The sequence below is a fragment of the Homo sapiens genome, chromosome 15, assembly GCF_000001405.40.
Source record: "Homo sapiens chromosome 15, GRCh38.p14 Primary Assembly".
In the NCBI taxonomy this organism is placed as follows: Eukaryota; Metazoa; Chordata; class Mammalia; order Primates; family Hominidae; genus Homo; species Homo sapiens.
The window spans coordinates 28236053-28263754 of NC_000015.10; the positions used below are offsets into that span (position 1 = coordinate 28236053).

Consider the following 27702-nt stretch of genomic DNA (forward strand, 5'->3'; position numbering starts at 1 on the left):
CCACATTCTGTGCAATTTCTGGGCATGCAGGGAGACAAAAGCCATGCTGGGCCCATCAGGCAGAGGCTGCAATACGTGAGACCACCACAGGGTAGACGGGTAGAGATTCCTGCACACTTTTTAGCTTCCTCTGCAGCAACAGACCATGAGGGCAAATGACAACCACTCACAGCTGTTTCTACCTGATTGAGTCTCACTATCCTTATTATTATTATTTTTATCATCATCAGCTGTGTTGAATCCGCCTCTCCTTTTGAGACGGAGTCTCGCTCTTGTCACCAAGGCTGGAGTGCAGTGGCGCGATCTCGGCTCACTGCAACCTCCGTCTCCTGGGTTCAAGCAATTCTCCTACCTCAGCCTCCCGAGTAACTGGGATTACAGGCACCCGTCACCACGCCCAGCTAATTTTTGCATTTTTAGTAGACATGGGGTTTCACCACATTGGCCAGGCTGGTCTTGAACTCCTGACCTCAGGTGATCCACCCGCCTCAGCCTCCCAAAGTGCTGGGATTACAGGCATGAGCCACTGCCTGGCTATCTCCTACTTTTTTTAAAGAGAGAGTCTTGCTCTGTCACCCAGGCTGGAGTGCAGTGGTATGATCATGACTCACTGCAGCCTCAACCTCCCAGGCTCAAGCGATCCTCCTACCTCAGCCTCCTGAGTATCTGGGACTACAAATACGTGCCAACATGCCTGGCTAATTTTTGTGTTTTTTGTAGAGATGGGGTTTTGCCATGTTGCCCAGGCTGGTCTCAAACTCTTGACCTCAAGCAATCCACGTGCCACAACCTCCCAAACTGCTGGGATTACAGGCATGAACCACTGTGCCTGGCCCTCTCCCACTCTTAATGGCACTTACAGTTCAAAAAAAATAATCTGCTGATCAGCAAAAAGCAAAGATTTTCTTACTGGCACATTCAATCTCGACAGGAGACAGCGGTGTGCTCATTGCCAAATACGAAGCGTGTAATCCGAGAAGCAGGCCCAGATTCCTCTCTGTGTCTATCAGAGGTGAAGAGAGACTCCCCAGATCTGGTATGGTGACGATTTCTTGGTCAGGCTGGAAAAATAAATTTCATCATCAATCTGAGGAAACAGAATTAATTAAAAACATAAAACCAAAAGGACAGCTCTCTCCTGCAGCTGTAACCGCACGTGAGCCCAGGGGTGCTCTGGGCATTCTGCCCCTCCATCCTGTAATGAGTTGATGCTGCTGTGCCCAAGTAACAGCAGATACCACATAAACCCACATGCCCAGTAAAGCAGGCAGCAACTGCACAGCCCTACTGTAGAAAAACTAAACCACAGATACATGATTTGGCTAGAATATTCCTTAGGAATCAGTTTCCAAAGTGACTGTACACCATGCTTCAGAAAGTATAATGAATTGTTACATGCATAAAGAACCCACTGGGCAACAAAACTATGACAAGTATTCGATGACAAGTATTAGTGGACTGTGACCACACATGTAGAGGAAATGAAATTTATTCTAACAAAAATCAAACTCTGAAAAAAGTAAGAGTTCATCTTTTCCAGTCACAGAAGATATTTACAGCAAAGTTAATTCTCCCCTTCATAAACTGTTTTAAGCCCTGCCCTAATGGCATTTAATACATCTTATTACTTGTCGATACCTGGAAAGCTAATCCCAATATATAAATTCTATGTGTTCGTGAATACATAGGAAGGACATATTTCTACTGTAAAGAATTACACTTCTACATAGTTCTTCCCAAAAAATACTACCTCAAGATTATAAGCCATTCCAAATTTCTACATAAGACCAAAGTTTAACCTCTTTTCTTGTGGAACACTGTCTATATTTCTCACAAATTGATCATTTAAAAAACAATTTTTCAAGACCAGTACATCACAGATCTTAACATGAATAAATGTAAATTCATTTATGACAAAACTTCTAAAGGATCTTTATATTTATCCCTAATGCCCCACAAAAGACCCAGATATCAGTACTTCTAGATCCAAATATTCCTATCACAAACACACAGAGGGTATCCCCTGCCATCCTCTGCATCACTCAAGGCATACAGCCTCACCTCCAAATACTGGCCAACACAAAACGCGTGCATGGATTCCCGGGTGTCTTCAAACTGCAAAGCAGCTTCCAAAGCTACCACTGGGTCTTCCCCTGCAAACTGAGCTGAAACAAAAAGGGAAAAAGCAACATGAGTTCAATTCAGCTTGCCTGAAGAGATATAGGAGAAACAGTGAATAGGAAATAAGTTAGGCGCTTAACTCAAAAGTGAGGGTTACCAGAGTATAATGACCTTCTACTGTCTCCCAGGGTTGCCTGGGCCAACTCAGAACTTGAAATGAGTTCCAAGTATTAAAACAAAAAATGCATAATCAAAGGAAATTCTTCAAATGTGCTGAATTTGTTGATAAGACAGACATCGAAGCCACAGATACATTAAAATATGTGGGGGCTGGCACAAAACTAAAGAAATCATTTATAAGCCAAATACTCTGCTTAAAATGATATAGGTTGTAACTTTTAACCAGGAAATAACAAGTGTAATCTTACCAAGAATACTATTTCCTGTTAACGACTGTGTCTGGAAGTCCTTTATATCATACACCTTCCCGTCAATCACAGTCCAGAAGCCTCCATCTTTATTATGGTTCTCCAAATCAGCTTTGCGTATAAGTGTCACTTCCTCATTATTTCTACAGTTCTGACCTGTAAAAAATGACTCTGTATATACAGAAACCAGAATCAGTCCATTGATCAATCAACAGGTAAAATGAAAAGAACAAACTGTGTGAAAGAACTACAAGCAGAAATAAACAAACCCACAATCACAATGGGAGAAATACATACCTAGCTCTGAAACTAATACCACACATACAAATTCTGTTAAATATAGAATGCTTTAAAAAAAAATCTAGGCAGCATGAATACCAAATTGGGCCATGCCAGGCCACAGAGCAAATCTCAACAGATTTCAAAGAAATAAACTTATAGAGCATGTGTGCTGACTACAATGCAGTTAAATTAGAAATAGGTTTTCAAAAATTCATTCAAAATAAATAAAAAATTCATCCACATATTTGAAAATTATAAAATACACTTATAAGTAACCCAAAATTCTAAGAAAAAAATGACTATGAAAATTAGAAAATGTGTTCAATTAATAATCAAAATACTGCAGATCGAAATTGGTGACATACAACTAAATGCATGCTTGAGGGCATTTATGCCTTTAAATGTGTATATTAGAGGGAAAAAGCTAAAAAAGAAAAACACCAAATCAATAAAAGTCTATTAGTTCATAAAAATACTCAAAAAAAGAAAACCTGAGTGGTGGTCACCTATGCAAGTGCTAGGATACCAACTCAATATTATGAAAAATAGTTAAAGGGAGGTGGCAGTTCAAGAAGTCAAGCTTAGATTATGTCCTTCCTGTACAAATTGTACCTCCTGCTAACCAGACAGCAGAGGGCAAGGTTGGTAGGGGATTTTATAGAGGATACGCAACACATGAATTCCCTGGTCTAGCTTCACAGAACTAAAGCGGGGAGCCACCGAGCATTACAGGCCTCCTGAGCCAACAGAAAGCATGCAGCATGACCCCAGACATAACACCGCCCCAACGAGACTGAATTCAAATCCAACCAAACCTCTAGATCTAACCAGCAGATTAATGTAACTAACAGAAGAACATGTTGGTCTAGAATAAGAGAATGCAATCAACCAAGTTCAGAAAATGTGAAGTTCTCCAAAATAACCAACCTGCTTCTTTGAAAAAGAAAACGGTATGATCACAGGGAGAGGAGGGCCTGGAGCCATGTTGTTGGGAGAAAGACTGAAAGCACATGTCAAGCAATGTCAACACAGAGAACATGCTCAGGTCCTAATTCAAAATTACCACCTAAAAAAGGCATTTTTGAGATAGTCCAGGAAAATGTAACATGGATTGCATGTTAGATTAAGGAATCACTGTTAATCTTATAGACAAGATAATGATATTGTAGGGTTTTTTTTTAAATCCTTATCATTAAGAGGTAAAATGCCTTAAAATGTTTTAAAGACAGAATTATGCTTTAAAATAATCCAATCAGAGGGCGCAGTGGCTCACGCCTGTAATCCCAGCACTTTGGGAGGCCAAGGTGGGCAGATCACAAGGTCAGGAGATGGAGACCATCCTGGCTAACACGGTGAAACCCCATCTCTACTAAAAATACAAAAAATTAGCCGGGCGTGGTGGCAGGCGCCTGTAGTCCCAGCTACTCGGGAGGCTGAGGCAGGAGAATGGCATGAACCTGGGAGACAGAGCTTGCAGTGAGCTGAGATCACGTCACTACACTCCCGCCTGGGCGAAAGAGCGAGACTCCGTCTAAAAACAAAAATTAAAAAAATAAAATAAAATAAAATAAAAATAATCCAATCAATCAAAAATACAGAGAAGTATGAGAGGGGAACATACTCACCTGTTAAAACTAGATTCATTTTACTATTTTTCTACTTTTATCTATGTTAGAAAATTTTCATAATAAACAGATTACAAAAACATCACAGTGCTAATAAGTATTCATTTCTCAAAAAGCAAGAAAAATAGCAGATTAAACCCTAAGAAAGAAGAAGGCAATAATAAAGAGTATGGCACTGGACAGACAAACATACAGAAAAATGGAATAGAATGGAGACCCCAAAAACAATCCATCACGTATTTGGTCATACGATTTTTGACATGGGAGCCAAGACCACTCAATGGGGAAAGAAGAGCCTTTTCAATGCATGGTACTGGGAAATCCAGACATGCACATGTAAAGAACGGAGGTAGACCCTTACCTTACGCCACACACAAAAACTAACTCAAAATGGATAAAAGACCTAAAAATAAGTGCTAAAACTATAAAATTCTTAGAAGAAAACACTGTGGAAAATCTTCATGACACTGAATTTGGTGACGTGTCTTGAATAGGACACCAAAAGCAGTGCAGGCAACAAAAGGAAAAAAATAGGTAAGTTGGACTTGATCAAAATCGAATACTTCTGTGCATCAAAGGAGGCTATCAAGAGTGAAACAGCAACCGAAAGAATGCAAAACAGATTGCAAATAATATCTATGCAGAATATATAATTAACTCCTAAAACCCAACAAGACAAAAAACCCAATTAAAACACGGGCAAAAGACTTGAATATGCATTTCTCCAAAAAAGGTATGCAAATGGTCAATAAGCACATGAAAAGATGCTTGACATCACTAATCATTAGGGACACACAAATCAAAACCACAATGAGATACCACTTCACACCCATTGATGGCTACTATCAAAAAAAAAAAGTGTTGGTGAGGATGTGGAGAAACTGGAACTCCTGCACACTACTGACAGGAACATAAAATGGTGCAGCCACTCCGAAAAACACTATGGCAACCCCTCAAAAAAATTAAATATAAAATTACCATATAATCTACCAATTCTACCTCTGGCTATATACCCAAAAGAAGTAAAAGCAGGCCGGGCGCAGTGGCTCCCTCCCGTAATCCCATCACTTTGGGAGGCCGAGGTGGGCAGATCACAAGGTAAGGAGATCAAGACCATCCTGGCCAACATGGTGAAACCCCATCTCTACTAAAATACAAAAAATTAGCTGGGCATGGTGGCGCACGCCTGTAGTCCCAGCTACTCAGGGGGCTGAGGCAGGGGAATTGCTTGAACCTGGGAGACAGAGGTTGCAGTGAGCCGAGATCACACCACTGCACTCCAACCTGGGCGACAGAGCAAGACTCTGTCTCAAAAAAAATAAACAAATAAAAAAAAGAAGGGACGCAAATGGATATACACACCCACATTCATAGCAGCATTATTCACAATAGCCAAAAGATGGAAACAACCCAAATGTCATCAACTGATGGATGGACAGCAAAATGTGATATACTCATATAACAGAATATGATTTCACCTTAAAATGTAAGGACATTCAGACACTTTGCACAACATGGATGAACCTTGAAGACATGCTAAGTGAAATAAGCCAATCCCAAAAGGATAAATACTGTATGGTTCCATGTATATGAAGTACCTGGAGTAGTCAAATTCAGACACAGAAAGTAGAATGGTAGTTGCCAGGTGCTAGGGAAAATTGGTGTTTAATAGATGCATAGTTTCAGTTGAGAAAAATGAAAAGCTCTAGAGATGAGTGGCGGTGATGGCTATTAAACAATGTGAATGTATTAATGCCACTAAATGGTACACTTAAATGGCAAATTTTACCAATCTTATACACACCCTTCCAAGAAAAGAATAGGCAGGAACATTCTCCTACTCACTCTACAAGATTAGCACAACTTTGGTTACCAAAACCTGAATGTCTATTATGTTTTCCTACTACTGGATCCATCAGCCAGTGTTTCCCTCGACAAACTAACGTTCTCTGGTGGATAGATGGAAACTAACGGGTTGCATGGGACCTATCTTCTTCCTGAATTATAGCTTCTTTATTAGTAAAGGGGTGGTGGTTATCAATAACAATAAGTTGCAGGGCATTACAAGAAAATAAAATTACAGGTCACTGAAAAAATTACAAGGAAAATGAGATGCAAAATCTAGAAAAATTACAACTACAGATGCAAAATTGTCTTTAAAAAATAGCAAACCAAGACCAGAAATATCTATCCATATGACCAATATCATGAGCAAAGTAGTTTTATTCCAGAAACGGAAGGTTGAGTCAACATTTGAAAAGTCAGTAATTCACACATTAATAAAAAAAATAAAAATTATATGATCAAGTAATGCAGGAAAAGCATGTGATGAAACTTAACACCCAATCATAGTTAAAACTGCATCACAAAGCAGCAACAGAAGAAAACATCCTTAAGATTCAAAAGTACTTACAAAGAGACTCCTAAAACAAACATCATACTTTGTGTGTGAAATCTGGAAAGCTTTTTCTCTGCTACTAAGAAAAAGGCAAGGAGGTACACTGTCACCATTTCTACTCCACAATGCACTACAGGTCCTAGCAAGTGCAATAAGTCACTAGGGGAAAAGCTGCAAGATCAGACCAGACACAAGCATAGACAATCACTTGGTTCAGACAAAGGTGACATCCCAGAAGAGTGACCAAGGACAGTCTTTTCACCCAAAGGTGCTGGCACAAAGACACTATGGACAAAATGCCCATGGAAAAAAAGTGACATGTGACCCCTTTCTCATAACATGCATGAAAATCAAGTCCAAGTGCACTATAGCTCTAAACATGAAAGTTAAGGCAATAAAACTTTTAAGGTGTAAAAGAAAATCTGGGTAAGAAAAAGATTTCTTAAGGCCCAAAATGAACAACCATTAAAACAGAAACAAACTGGATTTCACGAATATTACTTCTGTTCATCAGAAAACACTTTTAAGTGACTACACAGGCCTGAGTGAGAGAAAAAGCTCCATCAGAAATAGAGCCAAAAGTTCATATCCCAAATACACAGTAACACTCACATGAATGACTAAAAAGAAAAAAAGACAACCAGATAGAAAAATGCGCACAAAACTTGAATTGGCACTTCACAAAAGAGAATTTCCAACTGATTAATGCACACAGGAAAAGGTATCAAACCTCACTAATAATCTAGAAAATGCTAATTGAAACCACAATGAGATACCAGTGTACACCCACCAGAATGGGTCAAACAGGGAGTGCTAGCAATGCTAGGTCTTGGCATGGAAGTGGAACACTGAGAATTCTCACTTTGCAGTGGAGATGAGTAGCAGCACAATCACCGTGGAAAACTGGCATTCTGTATTAAAGGCATCCTCTACAAACCAAGAGTCCCACCAAGAAACAGAAAGAATGATTAAAGAAACAGATGTAAGAATGTTAACGTATTGGCAGGAGCGCTGGCTCATGCCTCTTATGTCAGCACTGTGGGAGGATCACTTGAGCCTAGGAGTTTGAGACCAGCCTGGGCAACAGAGGGAGACCGTGTCTCTACAAAAAATTTAAAAATTAGCCAGGCATGGTGGCGCATGCTTGCAGTCCCACGCAGGTGGAAGGATCTGCTTGAGCCGGGGAGGTCAAGGCTACAGTGAGCCATGATTGCACCATTGCATTCCAGCCTGGATGACACAGCAAGACCCTTGCCTCAAAAAAAAAGGTAACATATTTACTTTAACCTAAACCTGGAAACAACTTACATTTCCATCAACAAGTAGAATGAATAGGTTGTTGTATATTCAAACAAAAGTATACTACATATGGCAATAAAAATGAAAGAACTCAATAACGGGGTGAAGCTCAGAAACCAAAAGGTACGTACCGTCTAGTTCCACTTATATGAAGTCCGAGAACAGACAGAATTAAAATGATGTTGGGTAGGGACAAGAACTTAGTATAAGATGATCAGAAGTAAGGTGGCGATGACCACACAGCCTGGGGAAGGGCACTTTTCAGAGAAATGAGTCCGAGTTTGGGAGGGTCCTGCCACCATCCAGGCTAAGGTTTGAATGGCTGTGACACAGTTCTCTCTATGATCAATTACAGGTATCTACTAGGTACTTTTGTGTATGTGTTACTTATCACAATTTCAAGAGGCTTTACAGTGAGTAAGCTGCTGATCTGATCAAATGAATGCCCCTCAACAGTATGATAGTAGAGAGACAAAATAACACAGGACTAAGCTCACTCCTTAACAAAAGGGGAAGAATGGTGCTCAAAGTATTGACTGTTTTAAAAATAAAAAACCATGTTCAATGTCCTGGGGCTGTTTTCCTCAGGACAACTGCTACCTCTTGTTTTAAGCTCCCATGTTAGGGGGATGATGGTCTAAAACACGAGAAGAAAAAAAGCCCATCCAGCTTGAGATTTCATATAAATCAAAGTTTAACCCTGATTTTGATTGATTCTGAGTCCAGGAAGCTAGAACCATAGAAAGCATGGTGACTTAGATTCAAAAACCCAAAACTCAAAACATTGAGAAGATAAGTCTCATTCCAATTTGGGATGCACTACAAGGCAATGCCTGTAAGAAGTGCTCAGGTGACTCCAGGAATTCTGCATCTCACTAACATCAAACAACCAGAGGACTCTGGAGAGTCTTCCCATTATCAATCTCTGCCTCCTGAGCTGGACCACAGATAACCACCCCAACTGCACCTTCTGGAGGCACCAGGACTTTGTAAAATTTCATTTCAGTACTTAACAAGGATTACTAATGGAAAAATCTTCCTTAAATATAACCGAAATATAGCCGGGCGCAGTGGCTCATTCCTGTAATCCCAGCGCTTTGGGAGGCAGAGGCGGGTGGATCACTTGAGGTCAGGAGTTCGAGACCATCCTGGACAACATGGTGAAACCCCATCTCTACTAAAAATACAAAAGTAAGCTGGGCATGGTGGTGTGCACCTGTGGTGCCAGCTACTCAGGAGGCTGAGGCAAGAGAATCACTTGAGCCCAGGAGGCAGAGGTTGCAGTGAGCTGAGATCATGACACCGCACTCCAGCCTGGGCAACAGAGCAAGATGTAGTGTCAAAAAAAAAAAAAAATATATACACACACACACACACACACACACACACACACACACACAGATATATATATACACACACATATATGTACACACATATATATACACACTCATATATACACACACACACATACATAAACACACATATATTTGGTTAATATATACATATATGACCCAAATTTCTTCTGATTTGGATTATCTCCATTTTTTACTTATACTACCATCAGTAGAAATGGCAAATCTTCCTTTGTAAAGTATTCTTTCAAATTGAAAGGCAAGAATAGGTTAGACAAGGACAATAAAACTTTCCTCAGTAAAACTCCTTTAAGACGCCGTACCCATTATGCCAGGCCAGGCTAACTCTTCATGATCATCCCGTTCCTTTCCTGGTGCCAGATGGTTGAACCGATCCAGATGTTCCAACAGGCCACCCAGCAGAGGTACAGCTCCAGCCTCTTGCATGAGACCAGCATTTTTACTGAGCAGAAGCACTATAGAAACTACTAGTTCTGGAAGGAGAACACCTACATTTAAGAAATAATAAGATTTAAATAAGTATTTATCCTATAAAAGCTATTTGTAAACTTGTTCTGTGTTTAAATTCTGCTAAGTCACAAAATAAGAAATGTTTGTCCTTTAGCATATTTCTAAAGAATTATCTTATATTTTATATTGAGACAGGCATAGCTATTAAACAGAACCCTTTAAATTACAAAAATATTTTCCAAAACACTGTATTTCAATCACAGAACTATGAACTAAGAGTCTTCTATTCAGAAAATTAAATGTTTATTGATATGTTTATCATCAGGGAAAAAACACTAAAAAATAATGCTCTAACCTCAAAAAGTTAAAACATACCAGGTAATATCAGAATTTTTAAGATCCTTAAATAGGTACCTAATTTTTATTATGCTGTCAAAATAAAATTAGACAATTACCTTTGACCTCATTATTGAAATGTCAATAATGGAAGTATAAATCTAAATTACCAATTACATTTAAAGTGATATGAGTCCCATACCAGCTGGCTTAACAACAGAACTGTCAGTAACTAAAAAAAAAAAACAAAGGTGAAAGGGCAGGAGGCCCAGAAAATTTAGAGAGTAAATGCAGGCATGCTGATCAGCAAAGAAGACACTTTAGCTTTCATCTATCTCCTAAAATAAACATGTACACAAGCAGGAAACAAAAGGTACCAGTAAAGTCCCCTTCCACAATGTAAGCCACCTCCGCGAAGTGCCGCCAGCTGGTAGAAGCAATGCTGGCGGCCACAGGCAGTATATCTCCAATGTGCGTGCACAGGAGGGCTGTGTACTTCTTCAGCAAGGAACCAACACCCATTAGCTCTGGACCTTGAAGAAGGATTGAGAAATTTTCATTTTCACTACTAAAATTTTTCTTTGTAAACAAACTAACTGCTCCATGATGCTATTCTCATCTACACATCTTTTACCCATAATAATTTTCTCAAACAGAAGCCTGTTAACCCTTGTCCTTGCGCTCTTTCTGTATCATGTGACTGGAGGGACAGGGTTTTTATGTCAAGTTTTATACCCTGCACTACAGAGTACCTAGAAATTTTGGGTGTATGAACACTAAAGTCATAATTTAATTTAAAGATTTTTTTTTTTAACAGACGGGGGTCTCACCATGTTGCCCAGATTGGACTCGAACCCCTGGGCTCAAGTGATCCTCCTGCCTCAGCCTCCTGAGTAGTTAGATCTACAGGCATGCACTACCACACCCAGCTCTAAATTTTTAAAATTTTATATCTAGTACACAAATGTTTCCTAAAAGCTTGTAAATTATTCCCAAAAAACAAAGTTAGGCACTTTTCTGCTCCATAAAATCTTCAGTTTTTCTGTCTACATGGTTCTTTTTTTTTTTTTTTTTTTTTTTTGAGACCGAGTTTCACTCTTGTCGCCCAGGCTGGAATGCAATGGTCTGATCTCGGCTCACTGCAACCTCCGCCTCCTGGGTTCAAGCGATTCTCCTGCCTCAGCCTCCGGAGTAGCTGGGATTACAGGCACCTGCCACTATGCCCAGCTAATTTTTTGTATTTTTAGTAGAGACGGGGTTTCACTATGTTGGTCAGGCTGGTCTTGAACTCCTGACCTTGTGATCCGCCCACCTTGGCCTCCCAAAGTGCTGGGATTACAGGCGTGAGCCACCACACCCAGCCTCCTACATGGTTCTTAATAGCTTTTCAGTCCTTGTGACTTTGTCTTTAAGATGGTCACCTCTTTCAAACTATCAGCTCACCTACTGAAACCTGAAAGTTTCCATTACTGACAAGAGCCTAACTCTTCAGAAAGTAATTAAGTTACTTTGGGAAAAAAACAGCTACAAAATTACTAATGGAAGCAGCAGAGCTTTCCATCCTTGACAGAGAAAGCCTCATGATGGAGGGCCAGCCGCTGCCCTGGATGCTGAAGAAGGGGAACCATTCCCTCAACAGTGCACAGCACTGAGCACTTACACACCATTCTGTTCTGATTCTCACAGGCTGCCTCAGGGATTATCCCAAGTCTGCAGGTGAGAAGTCTTTGGCCCCATTAGACTTGGTCTAATGTCTAAACTATTAAGCCGAGCTGTAACTGAAACCCAGGCTTTCTCCAACAGTTCTTCCCATTCCACCCAGCTGGCTCCCCCATGTGACATATGAATAGGCTGTCACTGTTTACTTCCTACATCATGCCAGTCTCCAGCATTCCATAGCACATGGAACAAATCTGATAAATCTTCTGTAAGACTAAACTGAACATACAGGATGCTATTACTGATGTCTAAAGAATTTAAATATTAAGGCAACAAAATTAAAAATATTAACGAGGCTATTATAGAAAGGTCCAACTCAAAAAAGTGGATGCAAAATGAAGCCCCAAAATTGGTGCATTTAGTAGTATAACAACTACACATCTGGGCATATAGGATGGACACGTCGAAAAGCCTAAAGTAACGAGCCCCGATCACATACAAGACACTTTCACATTTTAAGCAACTTACTAGAAATATCTGAGGTCTGACCAATACTTTCTCCTGGATAAAGTTTACTAATAAGCAAACGTTGAAAACGCAGTAACAAATCCAATGAAGCAGATCTTTCACGACTGTGTTGCTCAAAGTCCAGACATGATGAAATCCGACGGGCAACATCTTTCAATCTGGCTACAGTCTGAGAAGCAATGTTTCTATACAGGAAAGAAGAGGATTACAAAATTAAACAAGATATTTCTACTAAAAAGAAAATGGGATGGGGTAAATCATGACAAATTAATATCACAAACACAGATCATACATGATGACCTGCAGCTGGCTTCCCTCCCCAAGTGTGTCCAATGTATCTGCAACAAGCGCAACCTCAGCCAAAACGGAGCAGAAGGGCACGGAAGGCTCAAAAGAGATAATGATGCCCTCGTGCTTCACTAATGTGCGCCTATGGAGCTGCGCGCAGTGGTCCAAACTGCAGAAGATCTTGCTTCCAAAGGAATACTTCCACATTCCCAATGTTTAAGGAATGTAAACATTAAGACAACGAAATTTAAAATACTGATGAGGCTAATATAGAAATATCTGACCCTCTAGAAAGAACAAACACAGTGTCATTATTTTTTGTCCAAAGCTGCATTTCAAACAGCAATGTGATACTACTCTTCAAGACAAGACTCGCCTGCATTGCCACATCTGCCTTGCAAGTCCACCTTGAGCCCTTACTCGCAAGCAGCACTGGGGTGGGCCATGCAGCAGGTGCCGAGGGCTCAGGGAGTCCAGGAAGGAAGACCAAAGCAGGTGCCCAAAGAGCACGGCAGCGAAGAAAGTAGAAGAGGCTCCAGTTCCAACACTGTGATGTGACTTGAGCCATGAGCCATTGGAAGATGACAAGAAAAGAGAAGAAACATATGTTCCCAGAAGGTAAAGTTAGGAGAGCAGTGAATGTTTCTGGTTCCTCAGCAGAACACCAAGAAACAAGGGCAGGAGAACAACACAAGGAAGCAAGGGAGAGACAGTGCAGGTAATGGAATGTCAGGCTGTGGGACCAGAGTCTGCAATGCCAACCCACCAAGGTTATGATAGGAAAATAACACCTTCTGTGTGTTTAAGGAAAGTAACTCTTTTTTTTGAGACAGAGTCTAGCTTTGTTGCCAGGCTGGAGTGCAGTGACATGATCTCAGCTCACTGCAACCTCCGCCTCCCGGGTTAAAGCGATTCTCCTGCCTCAGCCTCCCGAGTAGCTGGGAATTACAGGCACACGCCACCACGCCAAGCTAACTTTTTTTTTTTTTTTTTTTAAGTGGAGACGGGCTTTCACTATGTAAACCCAGGATGGTCTCGATTTCCCGACCTCGTGATTCACCCGCCTCAGCCTCCCAAAGTGCTGGGATTACAGGCGTGAGCCACCACGCCCGGCCTAAGGAAACTAACTCTTATGTCAATGTGAAAGCAAATCAGACAGGACATGGGAACACGGAGGGGAGGAGAGCCCAACCAGAGCCTGGTTCCAGACCCACCCCACCCGCCCCGTTGAGCCAGGAGCACAGGTGGCTCTCTGCACAACACCAAGAGTGAGGACATGCTTTCAGCTCCACTTTAACTCAGGTTCCTAATGTGACAGCAGGCTTGTCAATCCCACTTGCCCCCGTGGCTCACACCAGAAAAAACTACCAGCAGCATGAGTAAGGACAGAAGCAGGAGACAGAGGAGCCAGGGTTGGGGAATCCCATAGCAACCCACAGGCCCTCATCACACACGGCAAGGATGCGCCCTCACTGGGCTCACCACCACCAGACATCACCTTCACTACCTGATACCCTGCCTGGATAACACCACTGTAACACAAGAAACAGGTCTAGAATCTAACATGTATGCTACACCTGAAGGAGCAAGAGACGGTAATACAATACAATGAAATTTTTAGTTTATTTAATATAAAATTTAGAGCCATAATCAAAACGTGTAATTCTGATGGGGTTCACTACTTATAAAAACTTCACAGCGCTCTATTTTCAAATGTAAATGGTATTCTGTGGCTCCTCGCCAGCATGTAAATAACGATCTACTCTGAAATACGTTTCACGGCTTATTTTTGGCAAGCAGCGATTTCTCCAACTCACGTTTTCCAAGGGAAAAAAGGACATGAAATGTCTCCAAAAGTCTCTTACGATCTTTAGATAAACTACTGTTCAACAACTGCATCTGCCAAGTCAACACATCAAGAATCCTTCACTCACAAACACTTAAGGTGAGAAAACAGTGTCTACCCATGCAGGAGAGGGACACATGATCCATGCTTATGAAGACAGCCTGGATATCGGCTACTGGAAAGCTGCGAATGCATTTTTCTTTTTCTACTTTCCAAAATTTTTGTGAGGTGATAACTATGTTTGTGTCTATTCTTTTTATTTTGTATTTTTTAAGTACGTACATCCTTATTACAAATCTGCTGTAGAACCAATGTCCCATACAGGACCCCACGTGCCACAGGAACCAAAAAGTCACATGCAGCAAGGATGAAGACACAGGAGACAACCTGTGTGGACAGCACAGAGCCACCTGCCGAGGACACCAATGGAGCTACAGGTGCAATTCAAAATGTTCTTGGTTGTATTAATAAATGTGGCCAGGTGCAGTGGCTCACACCTGTAATCCCAACACTTTTGGAGGCCAAGGCGGGCAGATTACCTCAGGTTGGGAGTTCAAGACCACCCCAGCCAACATGGGGAAACCCCATCTCTACTAAAAATACAAAAATTAGTCAGGTATGGTGGCATGCACCTGTAGTCCCAGCCACTCAGGAGGCTGAGGCAGGAGAATCATTTGAACCCAGGAGGCAGAGGCTGCAGTGAGCTGAGATCGTGCCACTGCACTCCAGTCTGGGCAACAGAGTGAGGCTCCATCTCGGGGGAAAAAAATTGTCCTTAGTCACATTAAGTAAAAAAAAAAAACAAAAAAACACATAAAACTAATTTTAATAATGGCCAGGCGCGGTGGCTCACGCCTGCAATCCCAGCACTTTGGGAGGCCAAGGCGGGCAGATTACTTGAGGTCAGGAGTTCGAGACCAGCCTGGCCAACATGGTGAAACCCTGTCTCTACAAAAATACAAAAATCAGCAAGGCGTGGTGGTGTACGCCTGTGGTCCCAGCTGCTCGGGAGGCTGAGGCAGGAGAATCACTTGAAGCCAAGAGGCAGAGGTTACAGTGAGCCAAGATTATGCAACCGCACTCCAGCCTGGGCAACAGAGCAAGACTCCATCTCAAAAAATAAAAATAATTTTAATAATGTGTCATACTTATCCCAACAGATTGAAAATATTACCATTTCAACATGATATCACTATAAGAAAAATTATTGAGATATTTTACATAGGTTATTTCATATTAAATCCTCAAAAACCATCAGGGTAGCTTACATATGTAGCACATTTCAATTTGGACAGTGATATTTGCATTGAAAATATCTGATCTGCCCTAGACTCATAAAATACACAGTTGACGAAGTAGACTCACATGGCCAAGTGATTCTAAACATACTTAAGTGCTTCCTAATAACGGAATCAAGTTTTTAAACCTGCATTTTAATTAATAAAAATTAAACAGATAAAATATTCAGTGTCTCAGCTATGATGGATACACTTCAAGTGCTGATCAGCAAACGGTGTTGAGTGTAGCCAGACGGGCCAGCGCAGGCTACACAGCTGCAGCTCAAACAGCATAGTTGCAGGTCAAACAGGCCAGTCTCGGTGCACGGGAACATTCTGGGCAAGCAGGAGACGGGGAAAACGGGCACTGCCCTCGTGAGAACAAAGGACCCACAACAGGAACCCTAGACTCACCCCCTGCCAAAGACACCAATAGCCCATGAAGCAGCCTCCTCAGAAAAGGGAGGGGCATTCAAGAACTTAGAAAAGCACCTCTGGAAAATGCTCACTTTAAAACTTTGCGTGGAACTTTACATTTTAATTACAAAGGTTTTAACTTCCATGTTCTCATTGATTCTTAATTAACTCCATGAAAGTAAACACGGCTTTTATTCTTATTCCTATAGTTACTGTGTTGGAAGTTCATCTATGTGAACAAGCTGTTGCAACTGAAATTTTATGAGAACAAATTCCAAGCTCTTTCCATTAACACAAACTATATGAAGTTTAGTTCTCTTTATTTCCATTGGTTAAAGACCAGAATGTATGAAATATGCATTATCAGATTAGAAAAACAAAACAAACATCAGAAAAAGGTTTTGCAAAATAGAATTTACTAAAATCTATGATAGAAACTAGCTCTAAAACTTCCTGTTTCAAAATTTCACTGTGCGTCTACTAAGTTCGTTTTTCTGGTTGTGGACAGCAGGCCCACCCCACGCCACAGGCCCAACCCACACCACAGACCCACCATGGTCCCATGAATAGGCCAGCTGAGAGCTGTGGCCACTGCCCAGGGCTCCCTGCTCTGTGCTCGGCTGCCTGACCCAACCTGCCAGTGCTTTGCTTTCTCTATGTGTAGAAACTAAAACCAGGAGCCCAAGTTTACAAAAAGCAGATTTTTATTACATAGAGGTACAAATGTGTTTCACTTTCTAATCTCTTTCACAAATCACCTTGCTTTTTCGCTCTTCTTGGGTGATCATTTTTACACAACACTGACCGTTTTGGCTTCTGCCAAGGTTAGCCTCTGTTCACAGGCTGACTCTGACTTCTTCTTCCCACCTCCTCCTAGTCTGGCCTTCCAAAATAATGCTCACCATTCTTTCACATTGACTTTAGTTTTGAAAAGAAAAGTTACCTTACAAAGTAGTATGTACAACTCTGTAATATGTAAAGTGAGGCAATGATAGAACCAGTTTTAAAAATAACCTTTCCATGATGATTTTCATTTGCATCCACCTGCTTATTAGTAAGAATCTTTTTACATGTTTACTGCACACCGCAATTTCTCTTCAGTGAAAAACTTCTGAGTATCATCACACCCTCCAACTTCTCCTCTCACCTATATTGAAAAGGGTCTGCTCTTTATTCTAACATCTATACTAGGTAATTTTCAGAATATTCCTTCAACCACCAAACAAATTTTTGAGATCCTTGTGCTAGATTTCACTATCTTAATATGAAAACCAATAATCACCTACTAAAATACAATACAGGCCGGGAACAGTGGCTTACGCCTGAAATCCCAACACTTTCAGAGGCCAAGGCGGGTAGATCACCTGAGGTCAGGAGTTTGAGACCAGCCTGACCAATATTTTGAAACCCCGTCTCTACTAAAAATACAAAAATCAGCCAGGTGTGGTTGCGGACGCCTGTAGTCCCAGCTACTTGGGAGGCTGAGGCAGGAGAATTGCTAGAACCCAGGAGGCAGAGGTTGCAGTGAGCCAAGATCATGACACTGCACTCCAGCCTGGGCAATAGAGCGAGATTCCGTCTTAAAAAATAAATATTAAAAAAAAATAATAAGTACATAAATAGACCGGGAGTGGTGGGTGATGCCTGTAATCCCAACACTTTGGGAGGCCAAGGCGGGCGGATCACCTGAGGTCAGGAGTTCAAGACAAGCCTGACCACCATGAAGAAACCCCGTCTCTACTAAAACTACAAGATTAGTCGGGTGTGGTGGCACACACCTGTAATCCCAGCTGTGTGAGAGGCTGAGGCAAGAGAATCACTTGAACCTGGGAGGCGGAGCTTGCAGTGAGCCAAGATGGCGCCATAGCACTCCGGCCTGGGCAACAAGAGCGAACTCTGTCACACACACAAAAAAAAGTAAATAAATAACATATAATACAATACAGCTACTACGATTTACCTAAGAAGCTGTTGTATGAGCTGAACCAGAGGCAAACACTGTTTGCCAGAAGACTCACAGATCCCCGTATTAATAAGGTCTTTATCCAGTGGAGTCCTGCTTCTATGAAATGTTGAGGCATTCGCTTCCTGTTCATCAATTTCTTTTTCCTTCTGTGCTTCTTTTTTGGCTTCAATATCCTGTAATTCATAAAAAGAAATTGTTTACAAGTGATCTCATTACCAGGTGTGAAGACACACAGGCTGGCTGAGCCCTAACCCCAGTGCCAAGCTATCCCAGCCTCTGTGGCTAATGCACACACCTACCCACAGGCCCCCATCTGCCTTGTTGGAAACCCTAACTCAGTTGTGCAGTTTCAAACAGTGTCTTCTTTTTACAGAATCAAGGTCCAGGCTGCCTCTGCTGATGCTCTCCAGCATCCTTCTGTGAAGTCCCTAAAATCCTTAACCCTGCTACTGGCTCTCACAAAACCCAATGTGATGTGCCCCACACATGCAACATCCAGCTGCTTTGTAAGGACAAGAAGAAGCTGGAATTCTCACATACTTGTTCAAATGTAAATGGCAAAGCCACTTGGGGAAACTATGAACACGCACCTGCCCCAGGACCTAACAAATTCCACTCCAAGTGTTTACCCAAAAGGAGAACATATGTTCACTAAAGTACTTGTACACAGCACAACCGTGGCAGCTCTACATGGCCAAAAACCAGAAAGCCTGGGCGTGGTCGCTCATGCTTGTAATCCCAACACTTTGGGAGGACAAGGTGGGGGGATCACTGGAGCCCAGGAGTTCGAGACCAGCCTGTGCAACATAGTAACACCTTGTCTCTACAAAAAAATCACAAAACTAGCCGGGCATGGTGACATGTCTGTGGTCCCTGCAAAACAGGAGGCTGAGGTGGCAGGATCATTTGAGCCTAGGAGGACAAGGCTGCAGTGAGCCAACATCAGGTCACTGCATCCAGCCTCGGTGACAGAGCAAGACGCTGTCTCAAAAAAAAAGAAAACAAAAACCAAAAGCAATTAAACGTCCTTCAATAGGAGAATGAACAAACAGTACTACACCTATAAAATGGAATACTTCCCAATAATAAAAAAGAAGTCACAATACACACAACAGTGAGTGAATCTGAAAATCATTCTCCAAGGCAAAGCAAGAAAGAGTGCATACTATATAGTTATATTGCTGCGACACTCAGAGCAGGAAAAATGAATCTAATCTCAGGGCAGGGGAGTATCCTGGCTGCAAGTGCCAAGGGCACAGGGATCTTTCCGGGTAACGGGAATGGTCTACATGAGGAACAGGTTACCTGTTAACTTCACTGAAACAGACAACATGCAGTATTTTATCACAATTAAATCATATCTCAATAATTTTGTAAATTGGCACATAAAAGAATTTTAATTTAAAAAATACTTGGATATGATAAAAGTTTAGAGTTTTACTGTTTTCAGTTATTCTTCACGTGTGTGAGTGTGGTATTTCTGATCTCAGTGCACCACCAGGTCACGTGTGCCTCCAAAGCCATACCTGGATCTCTGCAGTAATGGCTGCGTGTAAGGCTGACTCCAACCCTCCATCAGCCATCAAGCTGCCCACCAGAAGATCAATCATGAATCGACGACCTGGACTTATGTTCACTTCATTGCCTGAAACTGAAATAGAAAGTGTGTGCCAATTTGAGTGAAACGCCATTCCCTCCCAACACCCTGACCCATGCCCTCTCCTGTTCCTTCCCCAGGCCCACCTGCGCAGGGCAGGAGAGCAGAGAGTGCCCGGGCCCGCTCCTCCGCGGTGGGCAGCAGCACGGACCAGCCACTCTGCAGCACGGCCTGGGCGGCCGACTGCACGGTGCTCAGCACGCCCGCACTGCTGGCCAGGGTCACCACCGTCTGCTTCAGGCTGTTCAGGAGGATGCTGCCCAGACCTAAACCAAGGAATTCCGGGTCAACCTGGTGACTAATGGCAGCATGCAACTGAAAGGAGAAAAACAATTTTCACTTAGAACCCCTAAAAATGAGTGAATTTCAAAGTCTTATTAAACACTGAATAAAAGTCAATTTCAAGTATTATTTAAATAGACAATTTCTCAGTTTATGTATTTTTAAAAACTGGACTAAAAAAACTCTTACCCACAATAGTTGAGGTATTTGCTAGAGGAATCTTTTTAACCCCACTATGAACATGTTTATGGAAAGCTCAAGATCAGCAGAAGAGCTAAACAACTAGCAACAGCAACCTCCACCCCGCGCCAACAATCTGCACCAAACACAGAAATAACAGCTACAACTCAACCAAAAAAGCTGCCACAGGTGCAATCTCGGCTCACTGCAAGCTCTGCCTCCCCAGTTCATGCCATTTTCCTGACTCAGCCTCCCGAGTAGCTGGAACTACAGGCGCCCGCCACCACAACTGGCTAATTTTTTGTATTTTTAGTAGAGACGGGGTTTCACCATGTTAGCCGGGATGGTCTCGATCTCCTGACCTCGTGATCCACCCGCCCAGGCCTCCCAAAAGTGCTGGGATTACAGGCGTGAGCCACCGCGCCCAGCCCAGATCATGTTTTTTAAGACTCGCGTCCATTATTAGTGCATTACAATCTTACTTTAAAATATTTCACCGAACAGGCTAAAACCCATGCCCTTCAAAATACATAAACCTTCTTACAAATCCCTAAGACACTTACAAAAGGAGGAAGAAGAAGGGAAATCATGAATACCTGAAGTCGTAGAAGATTCAGCGTTGCCACGGCCACACACTCTTTCTCCTGGGGCGGGGGCCAGTCCGCGGAACCATCCATCCCCTCACTCACCTGCCGAAGCAGGAGATCCAGCTGCTCAAAAGTCATTGAGCAGATGTCCACCACAAAAGGGACACGGAGGCCAATGGACCACTCAGAACATGATGACCAAGCAAAGCTCTAAGAGGAAACGCAACAATCTAAAATGAATCTCCAAATGCAGCTGCTGGTCTGCTCCACAGGAGTCACCAGCGTGTGTGATGGAGCTGCCTTATACTATTACCTATCATCCCTCGAACTGCCCAGTCCAAAGGCATTCATGGATGTCTAGCTCACACACTATCAGCTTCCGATTTTCCCACCCATTTCACTAGCCCATCTCATTTGGCCATACCTAAAAAAGTAAAAGCATTTTTAACAATCTTTTCACTCTCAAAACGATTAATGACATTAATGGATGGCAGTGAGGATCTCCATCCACTTGAAGTGGTATAATAGCAACTCTAACTAGACAACGAATTGTTAGATGCATATGACACACACACAACCTTTCACAGTGAAATAACAAGTAATCGGCAAGGATCTAAGAGAACGGTGGAACACTATGAATAAACTGGATCTAATTTATAGAACATTTCACCCAACAACAACAAAATACATATACTTTTTTTTTTTTTTGAGACAGAGTCTCACTCTGTCACCCAGACTGGAGCCTCAGCCTCCCAAGTAGCTGGGACTACAGGTGCCCGCCACCAAGCCTGGCTAATTTTTTTTTTGTATTTTCAGTAGAGACAGGGTTTCATGGTGTTAGTCAGGATGGTCTCCATCACCTGACCTCATGATCTGCCCGCCTCAGCCTCCCAAAGTGCTGGAATTACAAGCGTGAGCCACCGCACCTGGCCATACATATACTTTTTAAGCACATACAGAATGTTCACTAAGAGAGAACATATCCTGAGACATAAAACAAATCTTAACAAATTTAAAAGAAATGAAATCATATACAGTTTGTTCTCCAATCACAATGGTATTAAACTAGAAATCATGAACAGAACAATCTACAAACACTTCAAAATTAAACAACATACTTAATAATCCATGGGTCAGGCCGGGCGCAGTGGCTCACGCCTGTAATCCAAACACTTTGGGAGGCCAAGGCGGCGGGGATCACCTGAGGTCAGGATTTCAAGACAACCTGGCCAACATGGAGAAACCCCATCTCTACTGAAAATACAAAAAAATTAGCCAAGCATGCTGGTGCATGCCGGTAGTCCCAGCTAATCAGGAAGCTGAGGCAGGAGAATTGCTTGAACCCGGGAGACAGAGGTTGCCGTGAGCTGAGATCATGTCATTGCACTCCGGCCTGGGCAATAAGACCAAAACTCCATCTCAAAATAATAATAATAATAATCATCCATGGGTCAAAAAAACAATTCTCAAGAGAAATTATAAAATATTTTGAACATACATGAAAATGCGCCAAAATTTGTAGGTTTAATTAAAGCACTGCTAAACAGGAAAATTTATAGCATCAAATCATTATCTATTACAAAAAAAAGATAGGTCTAAATCAGCAATCTAAGTTTCCGCCTTAAGAAACTAGAAAAAGAACAAAGTGAACGCAAAACAAGCCAAAGGGACAAATGACAAGACAAAAGCAGAAATCAATGAGATTGAAAGCAAAACAAAAGGGAAAAATTAATGAAACGAAAAGATTGTTCTTTGAAAAGATCAACAAAATTGAAAAACTCTAGGAAAACTGACAAAGAAAAAAACAGAAAAGATACAAATTATCAGAATCAAGAATGAATGAAGGGACATCACCGCAGGCCCCACAGACTTCAGACAGCAAGAGAATACTAAGGAAAACTTGACACGTAAAAATCAGACAACGTAGATGAAGTAAAGCACATCTGAGGGCCAAAAATCAGGAAAATCCTCCTAGAAACAAACAGGTCACCTGAATACTTCTATATCTGTTAAAGAAATTGAAGTTGCAAAATCTTTTTTTTGTTTGTTTTTGTTTTTTTGAGACGGAGTTTCGCTCTTGTTGCCCAAGCTGGAGTGCAATGGCGCCATCCCGGCTCACTGCAATTTCTGCCTCCCAGATTCAAGCGATTCTCCTGCCTTAGCCTCCTGAGTAGCTGGGATTACAGGCGCACATCACCAAGCTCGACGAAATTTTTGTATTTTTAGTAGAAACAGGTTTCACCATGTTAGCCAGGCTGGTCTCAAACTCCTGACCTCAGGTGATCCACCCATCTCGGCCTCCCAACGTGCTGGGATTACAGGCGTGAGCCACTGTGTCTGGCGTAAAATCTTTTAGAAAGCAATCTCCAGACTCAGATGGGATTCAAAAACATTTAAAGAAGAAATAACACTAATTCTACACAATCCCTTATAGAAAATGAAAAAGGACGGAACACATGCCAATATTTTGTATAAGGTCAGCTTTCCCCTGATAGAAAGTCAGACAAGATAGTATAACACAAAGAAAGAAAACCACAAACCAACATCTCTAATGAGCATCAACAGAAAAATCCTCAACAACCTGTTAGCAAGTCAAATTTTGCAATACAGAAACAGAATAGGGCCAGGCACAGTGGCTCACACCTGTAATCCCAGCACTTTGGGATGCCAAGGAGGATGGATCACTTGAGGTCAGGAGTTGGAGACCAGGCTGGCCAACATGGTGAAACCCCATCTCCACTAAAAAGAAAAAAAAAAAATACAAAAATTAGCCAGGCATGGTAGTGCACACCTATAATCCCAGCTACTCAGGAGGCTGACGCAGGAGAATTGCGTGAACCCAGGAGGCACAGGTTGCAGAGAGCTGAGATTGCACCAATGCACTCCAGTCTGGGTGACAGAGTGAGACTCCATCTGGCAAAAAAAAAAAAAAAAAAAAAGAGTAGTAAATTGTGGCCAAGTGATGCCTATCCAAGTAACACAAGGCTTGATCAGTATTTAAAAATCAGGCTGGTGCAGTGCCTCACACCTGTAATCCCAGCACTTTGGGAGGCCAAGGCAGGCAGATCGCTAGAGCTCAGGAGTTCGAGACCAGCCTGGGCAACATAGTGAAACCGTATCTCCAAAAAAGAAAAAAAAAAAATGTTTAAGAAAAAGAAAAGTAAAAAGCATCATGTAATACACCATACTAACACACTAAAGAAGGAAAACTGCATGACCATTTCATTTGAGAAGATTAAAAGCATTTAACAAATTTTAACATCCAGTCAGGATTTTTTAGAAGCTTCTAAAACGGGGAATTAAAGACACTCCCTTAATCTGATAATAAGGCATCTACATAAATACCCACAGCTAACATCACAGTTGATGGTGAAAGACTGAACTGCCTTCCCCTACAGTCAGGATCAAGGCAGGGTGCCCACTGTCACCTCTCCTATTCAGCTTCACACTGCAAGTCCTGGCCAGGGCAATCAGGCCGGGAAAAGACATAAAAGGCGAGCAGACTGGAAAGGAAGAAATGAAACTGCCCCTCTATACAGATAGCATTTAATTGTCCATGAAGAAAACCCAAGGAAACTACAGTGAAGCTCATAATAAATGAGTTTAGCACAACTGCAGGACACAAGAACAACAAACAAAACTCAGTGGTATTTTCTACATACTGGTAATGAACAACTGGAAACCAAAATCCTCCAAAATACCAAATCAAGCTCTATATTCAGTACCTGGGCAGGCCCACAGGCAATTCCCACTATGTGTTTGGTGTCCAGTCCTGGCAATGCTGCAGGTTCTGGCTTGGTCACGCGCAAGGTGTCAAAGTGCTGGCACTGGTCGTTGCTCCCCCAGCTGTGGACCTCGCTGTCCTCAGTCAGAGCCAGGCAGTGGGTGGAGCCTGCAGCCACATCAATCACCTTCTTCCCTACAAGGGAAGAGGGATGCAGATGCAGCTTCAAGCCTATGACTTCCGCTGCAAGAAAGATATTTCCTAGGCCATTCAGGTCAGACAGCTTTTAACATTAACTTCTTGAGGATAATCTGCTTTGCTTTAATATTAAGCACAATTCATTTGCTTTGGGTGTGTTATTAAAACTGCTGTATTTTGTCAGCTACAATTCGTTAGGACCCACAGTCTACAAAGATCATAATACTAGGATACAAAAAGGATCTGTTTTTTTTTCTCCTCCTCATTCAGATTTTCAGTCAGAAAGAAACAAGGTGCTTTTAATTAACTATTAGATCATATTCTCCCATCCGAGATTTAACAATGCATAGCACACTCTTCAGTGAGGAAGGTTTCCTAAGAAGAAATCTATTGTTCTCTCAGTTAGATATAACTGATATTTAAAACATTGTTTCTATTTAAACACTTAGCAAAATATTCTATTTTTCCTTCCTGGTAAATCTAACATGGCCAACACAAAGGGTGTTTCGCAGAAATGTCAGTATATAAAATAATTCAGCTGAAAAACCACACTGCAGTAAGGGGAAAAATTCTATCCTAGGAACTTACCATAAGTTAACATCAGCAACAAAAAAGGTGTTTCTCAACAGTAATTTAAATACCCTCAAAGTAAATGATTTCTATACTAATGATTGTCGTAGCTTTCCTATACTAATGGAGGGGAATATAAACAAGAAGGCAAATGAAATTCAAATACCATTCAATGACACAGAGTAAACTTCTTACTCTGCAACTTATCTCAGAAGCTTAGAAAACAATAAACACCATATGGGCGCACAAAACTCTCAGTCATCAAAATATTAACCTGCTTTAAAATAAAACTAATGGAGAAGGGAACTGGCAAGTCTCACTTAAAAGTCCCACTTCCAAACCCACTTGGTAAAGAACCAAACACACAAAGAATGTATGTAGTACCAGGACCCAACGAACTACAGCCCCCACACACAACGCAGCCCAAGGCCTGCTTCTGTGAAGACACTGGTGTTGGAACACTGCCAGGTCCACCTACTTCAAATACAATCTGGTCCTTTAAGAAAAAGGCTGCCCACCCCTGAGAGAAGAGAACCCTAAAGAGTCCATCTGATGTACCTCTCACACTGCCTTTTCCCTTCTTCCTACTTTCTTGTCAATTTGTCTGCCCTTCAACAGTTCTCGATTAGGATGAAGACTATCTCCCAACCACTAGGCCAGGTGGTACGGAAAAGTCCTGTTTTACCTTAGAAAGATCCCTCCAACATCATAGTTTTGATGGCCCCCACCCCAACTTCCTGCAGCATAACATCCCTAGTAAGAACACCACAGAAGAATCTCAGGGTCTTCTTGCAGAGACTCCCATCCTCTCTGCCTGCACCGGCAGCCCACACTGAAGGCGCCGGCACTCTTATCTACATACCTTGGCTTCCATCTCTTGCCTCCAACTACAATGCATGCTGGACACCTTTGCAACTGAGCAAGCAGGAATCACCCACCAAGGATGAGTTCACATGAGGGTGTCCCAAGTGGACCCAATCCCACCTCCCAATGTGGCTCCACAGCACAATGCACACTCATGGTCTCAGTGTGCCTGCAGTACAAGTACAGGTGACCTCACCACACAGAGGGAACCCTTACTGAGTCCAGCCTGCTGAGTGATTAATGGGTGCCTGCCACAGAAAGTCAACTCAACAGGTTTAAATTACATTTCAGTCATTTTGTAATAGACACCCACTTTCCAATTAGTATCAATACCTATACCAAGCAGGCAGTAAAAGTTTCTAATGACAGTCCATTCATGGAATGTCAGGTTAAGAACATAAAACCTGCTAACTCATGGAATGTCAGGTTAAGAACATAAAACCTGCTAACTTTAAAACATTACTAAAGAAACTGTCCTGAAGGGTTTTAAAAGTTTACATTTGCACTCACCTTGCAAGCCTTCTAAGAGTTTTGGATAACGAACATGTTCCTCTGTTCCATGTCCAAGTCTCTGGTTGTCACCTTTTCCCCATGAATAAACTTGGCCATCTTTCGTCAAAGCAATGGAAAACTGACTTCCACAGCGGACTTTGACCACATCCAAGTCTTGAAGCTTTTCAATCAGCTTTGGGGTTTTGCAGCCATCACTACCACCTCTGCCCAATTTCCCATAGTCACCATCTCCCCAAGACCACACTTGCCCTAAAAAATACAAATGCATTTAAATAACAACAACTCTGCATTTTAACGAAAAATTTTAAATGACTGCAAATAATATAATGAAAAACGCACACTAATCTAGACCACTCAGGTACATAGTTAACACTACAAGGGTGGCTACTGAGCAAACGAAATCTAGGTGACACTTGAGGTTGACATAGAAGCAATAAAGAAAGGGAAAGCTGAGTTTTCTTTTTGTTTTCATTCCATGAAAAACAAAGTCCTGACTCTTACTAGCCTGGGCTCAATGTTAACTGCTTCACAGAACCAAAGGCCCACTGCCTCCATAACACACAGTAACTGGGGCCTGGCACATTGCAGATGCTTGCGGACCACCCTCCCGTTTGCCTGCCTGCTTCTGTTGCCACCATGCTGACCGGTGGTCAACTGTACCACTGTATGTGTTCCCAACTGCATATCAGCATAATTATGTAAGTTGATTAAATATTACATAAAGGGATAAAATGCAATTGCAAAAGTAAATATTTTTATTTTTATGGTGAAAACTAAGCTGAAAACTTTGCAAAAACTTAAAGTGAATTGCTAAAAAACAGAATTGTTAGGCTG

General features: G+C 41.9%; 1 protein-coding gene across 10 annotated transcripts in view, besides 1 other annotated feature; it reads right to left on the reverse strand.

Annotated features, from left to right (window-relative positions):
* Positions 1-27702, reverse strand: part of HERC2 (HECT and RLD domain containing E3 ubiquitin protein ligase 2) — a 211140-nt gene that overhangs the window by 125013 nt on the left and 58425 nt on the right. For 9 of the 10 annotated variants that reach the window (XM_006720727.4, NM_004667.6, XM_005268276.6 and 6 more), the window contains 12 exons: positions 26866-27117; positions 24725-24918; positions 21009-21209; positions 20037-20265; positions 19820-19944; positions 18288-18466; positions 12500-12684; positions 10690-10845; positions 9829-10014; positions 2550-2720; positions 2062-2165; positions 911-1061 (listed from right to left, as the gene is read on the reverse strand). In XM_006720727.4, coding sequence (XP_006720790.1) covers positions 911-1061; positions 2062-2165; positions 2550-2720; positions 9829-10014; positions 10690-10845; positions 12500-12684; positions 18288-18466; positions 19820-19944; positions 20037-20265; positions 21009-21209; positions 24725-24918; positions 26866-27117 — 2133 coding nt within the window. The remainder of the gene's footprint in view (positions 1-910; positions 1062-2061; positions 2166-2549; positions 2721-9828; positions 10015-10689; positions 10846-12499; positions 12685-18287; positions 18467-19819; positions 19945-20036; positions 20266-21008; positions 21210-24724; positions 24919-26865; positions 27118-27702) is intronic. The other variant, XM_006720726.4, reaches the window with a different exon arrangement.
* Positions 21178-21378: a silencer, noted in NCBI's record as "peak2277 fragment used in MPRA reporter construct". NCBI's record gives its function as "represses an SCP1 promoter by STARR-seq MPRAs in K562 erythroleukemia cells {active_cell/tissue: K562}" and the evidence as "EXISTENCE:reporter gene assay evidence [ECO:0000049][PMID:32103011]".